Genomic DNA, 19,793 nt, shown 5'->3' with positions numbered 1-19,793 from the left:
TCATTCCTGACATCATCGATTTGACTTAATATCTCTCTTCTATAAAGTCCCAAATCTTTCTCTGAATCTCTCCCACCATATTCACTATTTTGTCTTTTTTTTTTTTTTTTTTTTTGAGACAGGGTCTTGCGGTGTTGCCCAGGCTGGAGGGCAGTGGCATGATCTTGGCTCACTGCAGCCTCAACCTCCCCAGGCTCAGCTGATCATCCCACCTCAGTCTCCCGAGTAGTTGGGACCTGCCACCATGCCCAGCTAACTTTTGTATTTTTTGGAGAGACAGGGTTTCGCCATGTTGCCCAGGCTGGCCTCCAACTCCTGACCTCAACTGATCCACCTGCCTTGGCCTCCCCAAGTATTAGTATTACAGGTATGAACCACCATGCTCGGCCATATTCACTATTTTGAATTTCAGTTATTTATGTTCCTGAGAAAAAGAGGCAAGAAGAAACAAAGGATAGATGGTACAGATAGATAACAAATAACAAGACCAAAAGTTAAACCAGGCTATATCAGTAATCACATTAAATATAAATGGTCTAAATACTCCAATTAAAGGCCAGGCGTAGTGGCTCATGCCTGTAATCCCAGCACTCTAGGAGGCCAAGGAGGGCAGATCAGTTGAGGTCAGGAGTTCAAGATCAGCCTGGCCAACATGGTGAAACCCTCTCTCTACTAAAAATACAAAAATTAGTCAGGCGTGGTGGGGTGCACCTGTAATCCCAGCTACTTGGGATGCTGAGGCAGGAGACTCACTTGAACCCAGGAGGCGGAGGTTGCAGTAAGCCAAGATCATACCACTGCACTCCAGCCTGGGTGACGGAGTGAGACTCAGTCTCAAAATACATACATACATACATACATACATACTCCAATTAAAAAGCATAATTTGTCAGATTAGATTATAAAAGCAATATCTAACTGTATACTGCCTAAAAGAAATCCTTTTAAATATAGACAAAAATAGGTTAAAGCTAAAGGGATAGAAAAAATGTACCATGCTAATGCTAATCAAAATAAAGTTGGAATCGCTATACTAATACTAATAATGTAGATTTCAGAGCAAAGAATATTGCCCGGGATAAAAAAGAATCATTTCATAATGATAAAGAGGTCAATTCATCAAGAAGACATAATAACTCTAAACACTTATGTACCCAATAACAGAGATTCAAAGTACGTGAAGCAGCTTTGCACAATGGCAAGTATCATAGCCAATGAGGTTTATCTGAGGCATGACTATTGCTAATTGAAAAATTTTCCCAATACCCCACTGTGATGACTTGCAACATAGTCAGCACTGACAATTTTTGACAGTCTATACAAAGACTGAATTTGAAAAAAAACAAAAAAAAACAAAAAAACAGCTGGGCTAGTCATAGTGGCTCACACCTATAATCTCAGCACTTTTGGGAGGCCAAGGTGGGTGGATCACGTGAGCCCAGCAGTGCAAGACCAGCCTGGGCAACATGGTGAAACCCTGTCTCTACTAAAAATACAAAAATTAGACAGGCGTAGTGGCATGTACCTGCAGTTGCAGCTACTCAGGAGGTGGAGGCTGAGGCATGAGAATCGCTTGAACCCAGGAGGTGGAGGTTGTGGTGAGCTGAGATCATGCCACTGCACTCCAGCTTGGGCAACAGAGTGAGACTCAGTTTCAGAAAAAAATAAAAATACAAATACAAAAAATTAGCTGGGCATGGTGGCTCACACCTGTAGTCCCAGCTACCTGGGAGGATCACCTGAGCCTGGGGAGGTGAAAGCTGCAGTAAGCCATGATTGCGCCACTGCACTCCAGCCTGGGTGACAGAGTAAGACTCTCTCTTTATCTCTCTCTCTCTCTCTCTCTGTGTATGTATATATGTTTGTGTGTATATATGTGTGTGTGTGTGTGTGTGTGTGTGTGTGTGTGTGTATATATATATCATGAAGCAAAAACCAATAGAACTACAAGGATAAATTGACAAATCCACAAGGATAATCAGTAATATCCATACCCATACCTTAATAGTTGATAGAACAAATAGAAAATCAGTAAAGATGTAAAAGATTTGACCGACAGTATCAACTAATTTGACTAATTGATTATAGAACATTCCATCCAACAGCAGAATTTTTTTCAAGAACATTGCACATGGAACATTTACCAAGATAGCCATAAAATAAGTAGTGATCAATTTTAAAAGAATCAGATTATATAAAATATATTCCCTGGCTGCAATGGTATTAAAGTAAATACCAATAATAGAAAGATATCTAGAAAATCTCCAAATAAAATACCAGAGACTGGAAAGGGTGGAGGGGAAGGAAAGGATGAAGACAGGTTGATTATGTATACAAACATATAGTTAGATAGAAGAAATAAGTTCTAATGTTTGATAGCAGACTTGGGTGACTATACTTAGCAACAATTTTATGTATATTTCAAAGTAACTAGAGGAGAGGACTTGAAATGATACCAGAACTTAAAAATGATAAACACTCATTACCAAGGTGATGGGGGATAGAAATCTGACATCAAGGTGTTGGCAGGGCCATGCTTTCTCTGAAGGATCTAGGAGAGAGTCCTTCCTTGCTTCTTCTAGCTCCTGGTGTTTTCTGACAGTCCAGGGCATTCCTTGGTTTGTAAATTAATCACTCCTTTCTCTGCCTCCATTGTCATTTGGCTGGATTCTCTCTCTGGATCTCTGCGTCATCTTCCCACCCTGTGTGTCTATGTCCAAATTTCCCTCTTCTTAAAAGACACCAACCATATTGGATTAAGGGCCCATCTCACTCCATTACCTCATCTTAATGAATTGCATCTGCAAAGACCTCTATTTCCAAACAAAGTCACAGTCACAGGTACCAGGGGTTAGGACTTCAATGTATCTCTTGGAAGGAGGGGTCAATTCAATCCATAACACTAGCAATGAACACTCAAAAGATTAAATTTAAAACACCATTTACAGTGACACCAAAAAGTGTAAAATACTGAGAGATAAATCCAGCCAAAGATGTGCAAGTCCTATGCACTGAAAACTATAAAATATTGCTCAAAAAAATTAAAGAAGGTTGGAGTCCATTCCAAGATGGCCAAATAGGAAGAGCTCCAGTCTGCAGCTCCCAGGGTGATCGATGAAGAAGATGGCTGATTTCTGCATTTCCAACTGAGGTACCTGGTTCATCTCATTGGGACTGGTTGTACAGTGGGTGCCACGCACGGAGGGCAAGCCAAAGCAAGGAGGGGCATCGCCTCACCTGGGAGTGCAAGGGGTTTGGGGATTTCCCTTTCCTTGCCAAGGGAAGCTGTGACAGACTGTACCTGGAAAAATGGGACACTCCTGCCCAAATACTGCACTTTTCCAAGGTCTTAGCAACCGGCAGACCAGAAAATTCTCGGCTGTGCCTGGCTCAGCGAGTCCCATGCCCACAGAACCTTGCTCACTGCTAGCGCAGCAGTCTGAGATTGACCTGCAAGGCAGCAGCCTGGAGGAGGGAGGGGTGTCTGCCATTGCTGAGGCTTCAGTAGGTAAACAAAGTGGCCTGGAAGCTTGAACTGGGCAGAGCCCAACACAGCTCAGCAAGGCCTACTGCCTCTACAGACCTCACCTCTGTAGGCAGGGCATACCTGAACAAAAGGCAGCAGAAACTTCTGCAGACTTAGATGTCCCTGTCTGACAGCTCTGAAGAGAGTAGTGGTTCTCCCAGCACAGCATTTGAGCTCCAAGAACAGACAGACTGGCTCCTCAAGTGGGTCCCTGACCCCTGTGTAGCCTAACTGGGAGACACCTCCCAGTTGGGGCCGACAGACACCTTATACAGGCAGGTGCCCCTCTGGGACGAAGCTTCCAGAGGAAGGATCAGGCAGCAATATTTGCTGTTCTGCAGCCTCCGCTGGTGATACCTAGGCAAACAGGGTCTAGAGTGGATCTCCAGCAAACTCCAACAGACCTGCAGCTGAGGAACCTGAATGTTAGAAGGAAAACTAACAAACAGAAAGGAATGGCATCAACATCAACAAAAAGAACATCCACACCAAAACCCCATTTGTCGGTCACCAACATCAAAGACCAAAGGTAGATAAAACCACAAAGATGGGGAGAAATCAGAGCAGAAAAGCTGAAAATTCTAAAAACTAGAGTGCCTCTTCTCCTCCAAAGGATCACAGCTCCTCACCAGCAATGGAACAAAGCTGGATGGAAAATGACTTTGACGAGTTGACAGAAGTAGGCTTCAGAAGGTCAGTAATAACAAACTTCTCCGAGCTAAGGGAGCATGTTCTAACCCATTGCAAGGAAGCTAAAAACCTTGAAAAAAGGTTAGGCGAATGGCTAACTAGAATAAACTGTGTAGAGAAGACCTTAAATGACCTGATGGAGCTGAAAACAATGGCACGAGAACTTTGTGACGCATGCACAAGCTTCAGTAGCCAATTTGATCAAGTGGAAAAAAGGGTATCAGTGATTGAAGATCAAATTAATGAAATAAAGCGAGAAGACAAAGTTAGAGAAAAAAGAGTAAAAAGAAATGACCAAACCCTCCAAGAAATATGGGACTATGTGAAAAACCAAATCTAAGTTTGATTGCTATACCTGAAAGTGACGGGGAGAGTGGAACCAAGGTGGAAAACACTCTTCAGGATATTATCCAGGAGAACTTCCCCAACCTAGCAAGGCAGGCCAACATCCAAATTCAGGAAATACAGAGAACACCACGAAGATACTCCTCAAGAAGAGCAACACCAAGACACGTAATTGTCATATTCACAAAGGTTGAAAATAAAGGAAAAAATGTTAAGGGCAGCCAGAGAGAAAGTTCAGGTTACCCACTAAGGGAAGCGCATCGGACTACAGCAGATCTTTTGGCAGAAACCATACAAACCAGAAGACAGTGCGGGCCAATATTCAACATCCTTAAAGAAAAGAATTTTCAACCCAGAATTTCATATCCAGCCAAACTAAGCTTCATAAGTGAAGGAGAAATAAAATCTTTTACAGGGCCAGGTGCGGTGGCTCACGCCTGTAATCTCAGCACTTTTGGAGGCTGAGGCGGGCGGATCACGAGGTCAGGAGATCAAGACTATCCCAGCTAACACGGTGAAACCCCGTCTCTACTAAAAATACAAAAAATTAACCAGGCATGGTGGTGGGCACCTGTAGTCCCAGCTACTCGGGAGGCTGAGGCAGGAGAATGGCGTGAACCCAGGAGGCAGAGCTTGCAGTGAGCCCAGATCATGCCACTGCATTCCAGCCTGGGCAACAGAGCGAGACTCCGTCTCAAAAAAAAAAAAAAATCCTCTACGGACAAGCAAATGCTGAGAGATTCTGTCACCACAAGGGCTCCTGAACGAAGCACTAAACATGGAAAGGAACAACCAGTACCAGCCACTACAAAAACATGCCAAATTGTAAAGACCATCAACGCTATGAAGAAACTGCATCAATTAACAGGCAAAATAACCAGCTAACATCATAATGACAGGATCAAATTCACACATAACAATATTAACCTTAAATGTAAATGGGCTAAATACCCGAATTAAAAGACACAGACTGTCAAATTGGATAAAGAGTCAAGACCCATCAATGTGCTGTATTCAGGAAACCCATCTCATGTGCAGAGACACACATAGGCTCAAAATAAAGGGATGGAGGAAGATTCACCAAGCAAATGGAAAGAAAAAAAAAAACAGGGGTTGCAATCCTCGTCTTTGATAAAACAAACTTTAAACCAACAAAGATCAAAAGAGACAAAGAAGGCCATTACATAATGGTAAAGAATCAATTCAACAAGAAGAGCTAACTATCCTAAATATATATGCACCAATACAGGAGCACCCAGATTCATAAAGCAAGTCCTTAAAGACCTACAATGAGACTTAAACTCCAACACAATAATAGTGGGAGAATTTAACACCCCACTGTCAATATTAGACAGATCAACCAGACAGAAGGTTAACAAGGATATCCAGGACTTGAACTCAGCTCTGCACCAAGTGGACCTAATACACATCTACAGAACTCTCCACCCCAAATCAAAAGAATGTACATTTTTTTCAGCACCACATCGCACTTATTCTAAAATTGACCACATAATTGGAAGTAAAGCACTCCTCAACAAATGTAAAAGAACAGAAATCACAACAACCTGTCTCTCAGACCACAGTGCAATCAAATTAGAACTCAGGATTAAGAAACTCACTCAAAACCACACAATGACATGGAAACTGAACAACCTGCTCCTGAATGACTACTGGGTAAATAATGAAATGAAGGCAGAAATAAAGATGTTCTTTGAAACCAATGAGAACAAAGACACAATGTAACAGAATCTCTGGGACACATGTAAAGCAGTGTGTAGAGGGAAATTTATAGCACTAAATGCCCACAAGAGAAAGCAGGAAAGATCTAAAATCGACACCCTAACATCACAATTAAAAGAACTAGAGAAGCAAGAGCAAACAAATTCAAAAGCTAGCAGAAGGCAAGAAATAACTAAGATCAGAGCAGAACTGAAGGAGATAGAGACACAAAAAACCCTTCAAAAAATAAATGAATCCAGGAGCTGGTTTTTTTAATAGATCAACAAAAGACATGGACCACTAGCAAGACTAATAAAGAAGAAAAGAGAGAAGAATCAAATAGATGCAATAAAAAATGATAAAGGGGATATGACCACTGATCCCACAGAAATACAAACTACCATCAGAGAATACTATAAACACTTCCATGCAAATAAACTAGAAAATCTAGAAGAAATGGATACATTCCTGGACACATACACCCTCCCAAGACTAAACCAGGAAGAAGTTGAATATCTGAATAGGCCAATAACAGGCTCTGAAATTGAGGCAATAATTAATAGCCTACCAACAAAAAAGTCCAGGACCAGATGGATTCACAGCCAAATTCTACCAGAGATACAAAGAGGAACTGGTACCATTCCTTCTGAAACTATTCCAATCAATAGAAAAAGAGGGAATCCTCCCTAACTCATTTTATGAGGCCAACATTATCCTGATACCAAAGCCTGGCAGACACACAACCAAAAAAGATAATTTTAGACCAATATCCCTGATGAACATGGATGCAAAAATACTCAGTAAAATACTGGCAAACCAAATCCAGCAGCACATCAAAAAGCTTATCCACCACGATCAAGTCGGCTTCATCCCTGGGATGAAAGGCGGGTTCAACATATGCAAGTCAATAAATGTAATCCATCACATAAACAGAACCAATGACAAAAATCACATGATTATCTCAATAGATGCAGAAAAGGCCTTCAACAAAATTCAACAGCCCTTCATGCTAAAAGCTCTCAATAAACTAGGTATTGATGGAATATATCTCAAAATAATAAGAGCTATTTATAATAAACCCACAGCCAATATCATACTGAATGGGCAAAAACTTGAAGCATTCCCTTTGAAAACCCGCACAAGACAAGGATGCCCTCTCTCACCACTCCTATTCAACATAGTGTTGGAAGTTCTGGCCCGGGCAATCAGGCAAGAGAAAGAAATAAAGGTATTCAATTAGGGAAAGAGAAAGTCAAATTGCCTCTGTTTGCAGATGACATGATTGTATATTTAGAAAACCCCATCGTCTCAGCCCAAAATCTCCTTAGGCTGATAAGCAACTTCAGCAAAGTCTCAGGATACAAAATCAATGTGCAAAAATCACAAGCATTCCTATACACCAATAACAGACAAACAAGAGAGCCAAATCATGAGTGAACTCCCATTCACAATTGCTTCAAAGAGAATAAAATACCCAGGAATCCAACTTACAAGGGTTGTGAGGGACCTCTTCAAGGAGAACTACAAAGCACTGCTCAATGAAATAAAAGAGGACACAAACAAATAGAAGAACATTCCATGCTCATGGATAGGAAGAATCAATATCGTGAAAATGGCCATACTGCCCAAGGTAATTTATAGATTCAATGCCATCCCCATCAAGCTACAGATTACTTTCTTCACAGAATTGGAAAAAACTACTTTAAAGTTCATATGGAACCAAAAAAGAGCCCATATTGCCAAGGCAATCCTAAGCAAAAAGAACGAAGCTGGAGGCATCATACTACCTGACTTCAAACTATACTACAAGGCTACAGTAACCAAAACAGCATGGTACTGGCACCAAAACAGAGATCTAGACCAATGGAACAGAACAGAGGCCTCAGAAATAACACCACACATCTACAGCCATCTGATCTTTAACAAACCTGACAAAAACAAGAAATGGGGTAAGGATTCCCTATTTAGTAAATGGTGCTGGGAAAACTGGCTAGCCATATGTAGAATGCTGAAATTGGGTCCCTTCCTTACACCTTATACAAAAATTAATTCAAGGTGGATTAAAGACTTAAATGTTAGACCTAAAACCATAAAAACCCCAGAAGAAAACCTAGGCAATACCATTCAGGACATAGGCATGGGCAAAGACTTCATGACTAAAACATCAAAAGCAATGGCAACAAAAGCCAAAATAGACAAATGGGATCTAATTAAACTAAAGAGCTCCTGCACAGCAAAAGAAAGTACCATCAGAGTGAACAGGAGTGAATGGGAGAAAATTTTTGCAATCTACGCATCTGACAAAAGGCTAATATCCAGAATCTACAATAAATTAAATTTATAAGAAAAAAACAAAGAACCCCATCAAAAAGTGGGCAAAGGATATGAACAGACATTTCTCAAAAGACATTTATGCCGCCAACAGACACATGAAAAAATGCTCATCATTACTGGTCATCAGAGAAATGCAAATCAAAACCACAATGAGATACCATCAACAGATGATAGAGTGGATATGGAGAAATAGGAACGCTTTTACACTGTTGGTGGAAGTGTAAATTAGTTCAATCATTGTGGAAGATAGTGTGGTGATTCCTCAAGGATCTAGAACTAGAAATACCATTTGACCCAGCCATCCCATTACTGGGTATATACCGAAAGGATTATAAATCGTGCTACTATAAAGACACATGCACATGTATGTTTATTGTGGCACTATTCACAATAGCAATGACTTGGAATCAACCCAAATGTCCATCAATGATAGACATAGAAAATGTGGCACATAAACACCATGGAATACTATGCAGCCATAAAAAAGGATGAGTTCATGTCCTTTGCAGGGACATGGATGAAGCTGGAAACCACCATTCTCAGAAAACTATCACAAGGACAGAAAACCAAACACCACATGTTCTCACTTATAGGTGGGAATTGAACAATGAGAACACTTGGACACAGGGGCTTGTTGGGGGGTGAGGGCTGGGGGAGGGACAGCATTAGGAGAAATACCTAATGTAAACGACGAGTTGATGGGTGCAGCAAACCAATATGGCACATGTATACCTATGTAACAAACCTGCACGTTGTGCACATGTACCCTAGTATAATGCCCATGTACCCTAGTATAATAAAAAATAAAATAAAATAATAAATTAAAGAAGGTCTAAATAAATGGGGCAATATACTATACATTGTTTATGGGTTAGAAGATTTCATATTGTTAAGATTTTACTTCTCTAAAAGTTGATCAGCCGGGCGTGGTGGCTCACACCTATAATCCCAGCACTTTGGGAGGCTGAGGTGGGCGGATCAGGAGGTCAGGAGATCGAGACCATCCCGGCTAACATGGTGAAACCCCATCTCTACTGAAAATACAAAAACATTAGCCAGGAGTGGTGGCGGGCGCCTGTAGTCCCAGCTACTCGGTAAGGCTGAGGCAAGAGAATGGCGGGAACCTGGGAGGTGGAGCTTGCAGCAAGCCAAGATCGTGCCACTGCACTCCAGCCTGGGCAACAGAGCGAGACTCCTTCTCAAAAAAAAAAAAAAAGTTTGGTCTATAGATTCAATGCAACCCAAACAAAATCACAGCCACCTTTTCTATAAAAATTGACATCATATGAAAATGCAAAAGACCTAGAATAGCCAAAACAGCTTTGAAAAAGAATACATTTGAAAAACATATTACATAAGTTCAAGATTTATGATAATGCTACAGTAATCAAGGCAGTATAGTAGTATAGTACAGGCATCAAGACAGAGAAATAGATCCATTGAACAGATTGAGGAGTTCATAAGTAGACCCACATATATATGATCAATTGATTTTTCATAAAGGTACAAAAGCAATGCAGTAGAGGAAGGATAGTCTTTTCAATAAAGAACAGTTGAATACCCACGTGCAAATTTTAAAAAAGAACTTCAATCCATACTTCCCATCATACACAAAAATTAACTCAAAATTGATCATAAAACTACATATAAAACCTAAAACTAGGCTGGGCGCGGTGGCTCACGCCTGTAATCCCAGCACTTTGGGAGGCCGAGGCGGGCGGATCACGAGGTCAGGAGATCGAGACTATCCTGGTTAACACGGTGAAACTCCGTCTCTACTAAAAACACAAAAAAATTAGCCGGGCGTGATGGCGAGCGCCTGTAGTCCCAGCTACTCGGGAGGCTGAGGCAGGAGAATGGCGTGAACCCAGGAGGCGGTGCTTGCAGTGAGCCGAGATCGCGCCACTGCACTCCAGCCTGGGCGACAGAGGGAGACTCCGTCTCAAAAAAAAACAAAAACAAAAAACCTAAAACTATAAAACTTCCTGACAAAAACAGGGAGAAATCCTTGTGACCCTGGGTGAGGCAAAGATTTCTTACACCAAGAGCATGATCCATAAAAGAAATAAATTGATAAGTGGGACTTCACTAAAAATTAAGAACTTCCACTTTCAAAAGACACTTTTAAGAGGTGAAAAGACAAGTCACGGACTAGAGGAAAACATTGCAAATCACGTATTTGATTTTTTAAAAACTTGTATTCAGATTACGTAAATAACTGTCAAAACTAAAGAAAGAAAAAAGAAAATAATATATAAAAGTATTGCAAAGGGAGAATAAGACTATTCTTTTAATAAAGAAAAGATGGATTGTTCAATAAATGGTGTTGGAACAACTGGATAGCCATTTGGAAAAAGTAAAGCTGGATTCCTACCTCATTTCTTAATCTAATAACATGCAGATACATTAAAGTGTTAAAGGTAAAATACTACCCACAAAAAATTAATAATGTAAGTATGAAAAGAGAACAAAGGATTTTTTTTTCTTTTATGATTTTGGAGCAGGGAAAGCCAAGGCCCAAAATACAGAAGTCATAGAAGACAAGATTATACATTTGACTAAATAAAAATTTTCTGCATGGCAAGTGTTACTGTCTATAAACCTATGGATCCTCAGTTTAATAATTCTAGAGATCCTAGAATCAATTAAAATTCCAAACAATCAAACAGAAAGTGGAAAAAGAATATCTCTCACTTTACATCACTTTACCTAAGCAGCAAGATTTACAGTTTGGATAATATCAAGTGCTAGTGGCTGGGTGTGGTGGCTCATGCCTGCAATCCCAGCATTTTGGGAGGCTGAGGGAGGTGGACCACCTGAGGTCAGGAGTTCCAGACCAGCCTCACCAACATGGTGAAACCCCATCTCTACTAAAAATACAAAAATTAGCCGGGCATGGTGGTGGGCCCCTGTAATCCCAGCTACTTGGGAGGCTGAGGCAGGAGAATTGCTTGAACCCAGGAGGTGGAGGTTGCAGTGAGCAGAGATCATGCCATTGCACTCCCGTCTGGGGAACAGAGCGAGACTCCATCTCAATTAAAAAAAAAAAAATCAACCACTAGTGAAGTGGTAGGAAATGAAGAGCATCGTGAGCTGCTGGTGTGAATATAAATTGATACCTTTTGTAGGGTGATTTAGAAGTGTCTAGTAAAATTGAATATGTGTGTAACCTGCGATCTAGTTCCAATACCTAGGAGTATATTACAAAAATAATTCTGCAAAGGACATGTAAAATGACATACTCAAGGCTATTCATTGCAGCAAACAATTAGGAAAAATATCTTCTATGATAAATATATTGTGGAATGTACATATAGTAAATGTAGATACAAAGAATGAACTAAGTCACCATATATTGTTTTAAATTCCAACTCATATAAAAGCAGAATAGAATTTAATAACAAATGTTTGGTAAGAAGGAAAAGTAAAAGAAGCAGAGTGAGATGTACACTACAATATTGTTCTGAAATGTAAAATATGCAAAATAATCTAATGTATTGATCATGGATACATAAAGAAAGAAAATAAAAGAATAAAAGGTAGATTCAAAGACACACACTAAATAAATGAGTCAACGCCTATGGGGGGTGATAAAGAGAATTAGGTGGCTAGGCACAGTGCCTCATACCTGTAATCCCAGCACTTTGGGAGGCCAAGGTAGGTGGATCACTTGAGATCAGGGGTTTAAGACCAGCCTGGCCAACATGGTGAAACCACATCTCTACTAAAAATACAAAAATTACCCAGGTGTGGTGACACACACTTATAATCTCAGCTACTTGGTGGGCTGAGGTAGGAGAATCACTTGAATCTGGGAGGCAGAGCTTGCAGTGAGCTGAGATGGCACCACTGCACTCCAGCTTGGGTGACAGAGCAAGACTCCATCTAAAATAAAATAAATAAATAAAAATAAGGAGAATAAGGTTAGGGATGGGAAAAGAGGATGCAACAAAAAGGGATACATGAACCAATTATCTAGTGTGCCACAAAAAAAAAAAAAAAAAAAAAAAAAAAACCAATAAAACACTGAGGTTACTCAGGAGGCTGTAGCAGGAAGATCACTTGAGCCCAGGAGTTTGAGGCTGCAGTGAGCTAGGATAGGACCACTGCACTCCAGCCTGGACAACAGAGTGAGATACCATCTCTGAAAAAAAAGGGGGAATAAACACATTTTTATTTTACCTAAAATAAATTGCATTTAAATATATATATATAGCTTTAATTTTAAAAAGAATTAAAATAAATTTTAAATAGGCCCAGGATATGAACAGGAAATTCACAGAAGAAAAACAAATATCTAATAAGTACATGAAATTATCATCAACTTCAAATAATAGGAAAAATTCTAATTAAAGAAAAATTTGATATTTCCTTTTGCCCATCATACTGGCAAAAAAAAAAATGATGATATCCATTGTTATAAAGGGTAGGAGAAATGTAGACTCCTACATGTGGTTGGAAATAGCGTGGATTGATAAAGCCTTACTGGAGGGGAACTGGAAGTATCTATCAAAATGTAAAATGTACATTCTCTTTAATCCAGCAGTTTTATTTCTAGAAATCTACCTTCACAAAATGCTCATATAGGCCGGGCGCGGTGGCTCACACCTGTAAACCCAGCACTTTGGGAGGCTGAGGCCAGCAGATCACTTGAGGTCAGGAGTTCGAGACCAGCCTAGCCAACATGGTGAAACCAACGCCTCTACTAAAAATACAAAAATTAGCTGGGTGTTGTGGCACGCGCCTGTAATCCCAGCTACTCGGAAGACTGAGGCAGGAGAATGGCTTGAACCCAGGAAGCAGAGGTTGCACTGAGCCGAGATTGTGCCACTGCACTCCAGCCTGGGTTACAGAGTGAGACTCTGTCTCAAAAAAAAAAAAAAAAAATGCTCATATAAATGCACAAATATATGCATGAGATCATGTGCACTGCAGCATTGTTAATAATGAAAGATTGAAGCCATCAGCAGGAGGAAAGCTCAATGAATTATATACATATGTCCTATGCAGAAGTCTAAAAAGTGAAGATAGGGCCGGGTGTGGTGGCTCATGCCTGTAATCCCAGCACTTTGGGAGGCCAAGGTGGGTGAATTACTTGAGGTCAGGCATTTGAGACCAGCCTGGCCAACATAGTGAAACCCCACCTCTACTAAAAATATGAAAATTAGCCAGGCGTGATGTCGCACGCCTGTAATCCCAGCTACTCGGGAGGCTGAGGCACGAGAATTGCTTGAACCTGGGAGGCAGAGGTTGCAGTAAGCTGAGATTGGGCCACTGCACTCCAGCCTGAGTGACAGAGGGAGACTCTGTCTCAAAACAACAAACAAAGAAACAAACAAACAAAAAAAAGAAAACATGTTCAGAGATTTGAAGTAACTCACCCCAGGTCACACTGAAATCCATGTGCTAGCAGATAGATGATTTCAGTAAAGTTCAATGTGGTGAGTGCAATGATAGAGATATGCATAGAAAGACCAGGGAGCACACCAGGAGCCAAGCTGGGGCTATAGGAGAGACACACCAAGTTGGGGTACTTTTCTGAAGGCAAGGACATCTGCATTGTCTTGAAGGATGAATAGGACTCGTATAGGTGAAGTACAGGAGGAGGAACAACGGGAGCAAAGGAACGGCAGTCAGGAGTAACATGGACTGTGCCAGAGAGCTTTGAGTGCCTTCGAATTGTTAGAGCAAAAAGTACAAAGGACAGAATGGCCGATGGGGCTGGACAAACTGGCAGGAGCTGCACTGTGAAGGGACTTTCATACCATGTTGAAGAACTTGGGTTTTATCCTGGGGAAATAATGGGGAATCATTAAAAGGATAGTGTAGAAGTGTCCTGGTTCAGTTTGCATTTTGGGTAGCTAAGTCTGAGGGCAGCCTGAAGGGTGGACCTACGGGGAGGAAGCCGAAAGGCAGGGAGACTAGCTAGGCCACCGCAATAGTCCAGGTGAAGAAAAGCATTGGTAGAACTGGTAGAAAAACAGAAGTCATGTTTAGGAGGTAAAATGAATAGCTACTGATGATGGATTGGAGGTGAGACTAGAGGGAAAAACATGTAGCAATAGTCACGGCAACTGAATGTTGATGATACCATGTTTTGCCGTGGGGATACCAGGAGAGGAGGAGGGTTGAAGAGGGGAGAAGATAAGGTGGCCAGTTTGCAACATGTGGCGTTGGACATTCCTGGGAGATATCCTAGTAAAGAGGTACAACTTTTCAGCTACAAACCCAGAAAGCCAACTTCCTTCTGGGCAGCTCCACGGGAAGGCTCCTGGGGGGCTTTCATTCAGTTTGTCCTTATTACACCACCTTACTGCCACCATCTCCACCACAATTCTCCACAACGTTCCTCTTCCTACGTGTGCTACTTTGGAAAGTAGCACCACTGTACACCCAGGCTCCCAGGCCAGAAACCTGGGAGTTCTCCTCTAGCCTGCCACATTTAATGAATCACGACATCCTGTTGAATCTACCATTTAAATAGCTTCCTAAATCTGTCCTCCCTTCCCCATTCCTACTGCCGCTACCTAAATACAGACCCTCAGCTTCTTGCAGCTGACTTTGCGATAGCCTCCTAAAACTGTTCCCTGCACAGAGCTTACCTTTACGCAGCTATGATCAGAAATGTCCTAAAAGTGGCCAGGCGTGGTGGCTCTCACCTCTAATCCCAGCACTTTGGGAGGCCGAGGCAGGCAGATCATTTGAGGTCAGGAGATCGAGACCAGCCTGGCCCAACAGGGTGAAACCCCGTCTCTACTAAAGTACAAAAAATTAGTCGGGCGTGGTGGTGCCCGCCTGTGCTCCCAGCTACTTGAGAGGCTGAGGCAGGGGAATTGCTTGAACCCAGGAGACGGTGATTGCAGTGAGCCAAGATCACCCCACTGTACTTCAGCCTGGCGACAGAGCAAGACTCCATCTCAAAAAATAAATAAATAAAAAATTAGCCGGGTGTGTTGGTGCACACCTATAATCCCAGCTACTTAGGAGGCTGAGGCAGGAGAATGACTTGAACCCAGAGGCAGAGGTTACAGTGAACCGAGATTGCACCACTGCACTCCAGCCTGGGTGACAGAGCAAGACTCTCTCTTAAAAAAAAAAAAAAGAAAGAAAGAAAGAAAGAAAGAAAGAAATGTTCTGAAAGTGATATTTCTAAAGTGTACATCTGATGATAGTGTTTATCTACCCCACTAGAGAATGTTCATTGGTTTCCCATCACTGTGTGGCCAAGCACACACTCCCTATTATGCTTCTCCTGACCTGGCCCCTGCTTACCTCTCCAGACCATTCCGTCACTTTCCTGTCCCACCAGCCCCTTGCACTTAATGTCCCAACAATACCACACTGCTAATAGTGTGCTCTTGCTCACCAGAGCTTCTCAGGGTTCCATGCCTTCATACCTACAGTGCCTTTCCTTTGTAGGTGGGGTTCCCTGGGAAGTGGATTCCTGAACTCTGAGATCGTATACAGGAGAGTGCCAGCAGGAGAGTTCTTGAGAACACCTGTGAGGTGTGAGGGAAGCTGCAATAAGCCGAGAGAGAAACTGAAAAGCAATGCAATGGCAACAGAGGCTTCTGTCCATCCCATGGGGGCTCTCAAGCTGGGATAACTTTGTAACCCCACATCAACCAGTCATTGCCCTAGGGAAAGAGCAACACCTCAGGCAAGGCGGCTTTCTTCCTCCAAAGGCAATTCCTGGAGAGGGACTCAGCTGTGAGTCAACACTTCCACAGCTGGAGAAGTGAGTGGAGCACACCACAGAATTCACTGTACGTATCTCATGGTCTTCAAAACCCAGCTCAGAGTTTACCGGCTGCCTTCCTCACCAACACCCTCTCTCAGGTAATCACTCGCTTCCTTGCAGATGCCTCTCACTGTTGGGAAACTGATATGTTTACATGCCTGTCTCCCATACTCCCTCCCAAGTAGGTGGTGGGGAGGGCCTGATCCTGTATTTCAGAATCCAGAACAGTGCCCGGTATACATTGGCTATTCCATAAAGGCATGCTGCACTGAATAAATTGAAATCAACCAATGAAAGAGGTAGCTACAAGCTTATAAAAGAAGGAGGCTGGAGTTTAATGCTAGAAAGGATAAAAGGGACATAGACAGTAGAGATTCTCACTTGGGAACCACACTGGAGACCCTGCTTGGGAGGCCCAAGAGTCCCAGGTTAGAGCGAATCAAGGCTCTGAGCTTGGGATGTCCAAAGAGGGGCAGGAGCCAGAACAAAACCTGTAACCTATAAATAGCCATAGGTTATAGCTCATGGAGCTGGGAGACAAAGGTAAAACTTCAAGGGGAGAACGGGCTTCTAGGAAAGAGGAAATTCGACAGCTCCCTCTCCTTGCTCCATACCTGCCAGCTGTCACTCAGACTCCTATATTAAAAAGAGCACACACACAAAAAAGTACACAGATATACACGTGTTCAAAAACCACAGAATCAGGTAAGCACGCCCAGATACAGAACACACACATAACACAGACACACAATACATGAAACAGACACAGACCAGAAAAAAATCAATCTGAAAATTATAGGCCATAATATATGTAAATGAACCACCTATGAATTCTAAACTCTGTTTACCCCTAGTCAGCCTTCAAGCCTCCTTCACCTTCCAGAAATCTCTGACAAGTAGAGAATTCCAGATTGCAGAATTGCAATTCCTTCGTCCTTTGTCCCCAGTCAGGTCATTTCTTCTCTTTTTCAGGCTCTCAGCAGCTCCTAGCTAGGGATAGGGAAGAGGGAAAATGTTTCTGCTAGTAGCCAGCAGGGGACAGTGTTCAACAAGCAATAATCAAATCAGCCTTCAACTTGCTGAAGGGAGGGAATGGAGGACGAGGGAACCAGAAAAGGGTCCTCAGACCAACACATTGCTCTGATCACACCCTCGATCCATGTCTCCCTCTTTTTTTTCTGCTTCTTCAGCCCCCTTCTTCTCCTCAGCTGCAGTTTCTCCATCCTTAGTTTAGTAGATCTCATGGATTGTCTATTTGCTCAGAGAAGACTAAGCTCAGGAATTTCCCCCTCAGGGAGAGACATTCCCCTTAGCCTCTTGTCCCTTTCCATTCTGTCTTGGTTCCCAAGGTGGTCAGGACTTCGGAGTTTTCATCTGGACTCCTGACCAATGCTCAGGAACCCACATGAGGGGCTCAGTTCCAGGGCCACCTCTCAGGGGATGCTTGCATCCTGGTGCACAGCTGGTCTAGTAGAAGTGGGGTTGGGTGTCAGGCCCCTGCACTGCCCTTAGCCTGGTGCTTTGTAAAGTGCACAAACTGTATGACAGTACAGTTGACCCTGCTACTTACTGCCCCTGAGATAGCATCTGATGAGCGTTTCCGGTGTTGAACACTTTCACGATGATCTCATTTAATCCTCATCACACCCCGGTGGGTCTTGTTGTCTTTCCTGCTTTCCATATGAAAAAGCTGTTGCTCAGGGAGGGCATGCGGTTTGCTCACTGTGGCACAAAGGGGAAAGGTGGAGACAGAGCAGGGACACGGGACCTCTGGCTGCCGGGTGTGGGCTTTCTCCCCTCTAGCACAGTGTTGCTGCACTGCCACCACTGCCTCCCTTCTTCCACTCCCTCTCAGCCTTTCAGGCTCATCTCTGCTTGCTCCCTTCTCCTCCCTGCGCTGACATCCCAGCACTGTGAGCCTCTTTCTTCTGCCCATAATCCTCATCCAATGAGAGGTCAAAAGCTCAGGAAAGAACACAAGAAGAAAGCAGAAAGATAAAGGAACTGGGTGGTAGAAAGGGCTTTCCAGAAAGAGGAAGAAGCAAAGGCAAAGAAGACAGGGCCTGCACTGGGGGTGGAGAGGGAAGGGAGGTGGGTGGAATGAGGAAGCGGAGCACCCTCCACACTGTGCCCAGACTTGGGAAAGGGCACAGACAGGGCCTCCATTGTGTGGGCACAAAGAGGCCATATGCCTGGCAGCCTATGACAGTGTGTGTGTGTGCGCGTGTGTGTGTGTGTGTGTGTGAGAGAGAGAGAGAGAGAGAGAGAGAGAGAGATTTTAGGCAACCCCCACCCAGCCCCTGGGGCCTTGACTTCTGCTCTGTCACTGGTGATGGGTTTGCTGAGTTACAGGACAGGGCGTTGATGAAGACAGGACTGGAGGGTCAGGCACCTGTGGTCACTAGGACTGGAAGAGGGCATGGACAGCTGGGGGAGCTATGGCCATGCATGGGATACTTGGCAAGGGGAGTAAGGAAGCAGGGGTGAAGTGCAAGAGTCCCATTCTGGGGTCCTCCTAACTGCCCCTCCCCCACCCCACCACCCACGAGTTGGGTTTAGAGGGATGTGGAATGAGGGATGCAGAGCAGATCCTCTTCTAACAATCCCTTTTCCCCATCCTCCCTATCTGCTAGCCCCAAAGCTTTCACTTTCCCCTCAGCCCAGGGACTTCCATCTCCCTGCCCTCTCCCTCCTCCCCCAGTGCCTGGTCCCCTGCTCCCTCCTCTTCCCACTCTCCACCTCCTTCTCCTGTCCTTCCCAGAGTGAGAAGAGCAACAAGAGCGACAGCGGCAGCGAGGCCAATTGATTATCTGAAGAAATTCGGAGCTAGCAGTAGAACAGCTGCAGCTTCCCCCTCTCACCACCTCCAGGCCCTCAGGGATCCCTGAGGGGAGGGGCCCCCTAAGCCCTTCTGCTCTCCAGCCCAGGCAAAGAGACAAGAGAGGGAGGCAGGGAGCCCAGAGGACTGTGGCTGCTGAGCACAGAGAAGCACAAAGCTCTCAGGGCCAGGAATGGAAGACTTGGCTTCTAATCCCAGGCCATCATCATGGGTGAGTCACGTCACCTGTCTGGACAGTAGTTTACCTGCCTTTGAAATAAAGTTGTTGGATTCAGTGATTTCTGTGTTCCCGTCCAACTCTGGCCCTTTGGAGTCCTGAAGTTCTCCCTGATCTCAGTTCAGCCTTCCCTTTTGCCAGGCTCTGGGCAGAGCACATGTCATTTAACTCACATGGGAAGGGGAAGATGTCAAGTCCTCCTGTATGGAAGCTCCTCCCTAGGTCTAACTCAAGCCCTTCATGCTGCTTATGTCATTCTTTGTTCATCAAAGATGAAAACCCATAGCTGGGCATGGTGATTCATGCCTGTAATCCCAGTATTTTAGGAGGCCAAGGCAGCAGGATCACTTCAGGCCAGGAGTTAGAGACCAGTCTGACCAAC

The 19,793-nt window shown here is 43.4% G+C and overlaps 1 long non-coding RNA gene and 1 pseudogene across 1 annotated transcript in view, besides 2 other annotated features; both read left to right on the top strand.

Annotated features, from left to right (window-relative positions):
- The window catches only part of LOC105371466 (uncharacterized), a 30,841-nt gene extending 14,162 nt beyond the window's left edge, over window positions 1-16,679 (top strand). The window contains exon 4 of the long non-coding RNA XR_007066686.1: window positions 16,034-16,679. This is a non-coding gene — a long non-coding RNA (uncharacterized LOC105371466). The remainder of the gene's footprint in view (window positions 1-16,033) is intronic.
- RNU4-42P (RNA, U4 small nuclear 42, pseudogene) lies at window positions 1,185-1,326 on the top strand (annotated as a pseudogene).
- Window positions 1,478-1,527: an enhancer, noted in NCBI's record as "active region_1922". NCBI's record gives its function as "activates an Ori minimal core promoter by ATAC-STARR-seq in GM12878 lymphoblastoid cells {active_cell/tissue: GM12878}" and the evidence as "EXISTENCE:reporter gene assay evidence [ECO:0000049][PMID:35858748]".
- Window positions 17,883-17,932: an enhancer, noted in NCBI's record as "active region_1921". NCBI's record gives its function as "activates an Ori minimal core promoter by ATAC-STARR-seq in GM12878 lymphoblastoid cells {active_cell/tissue: GM12878}" and the evidence as "EXISTENCE:reporter gene assay evidence [ECO:0000049][PMID:35858748]".

Source organism: Homo sapiens, chromosome 1 (assembly GCF_000001405.40).
Source record: "Homo sapiens chromosome 1, GRCh38.p14 Primary Assembly".
Taxonomy (NCBI): Eukaryota; Metazoa; Chordata; class Mammalia; order Primates; family Hominidae; genus Homo; species Homo sapiens.
This window is presented reverse-complemented; position numbering and strand designations above follow the sequence as displayed.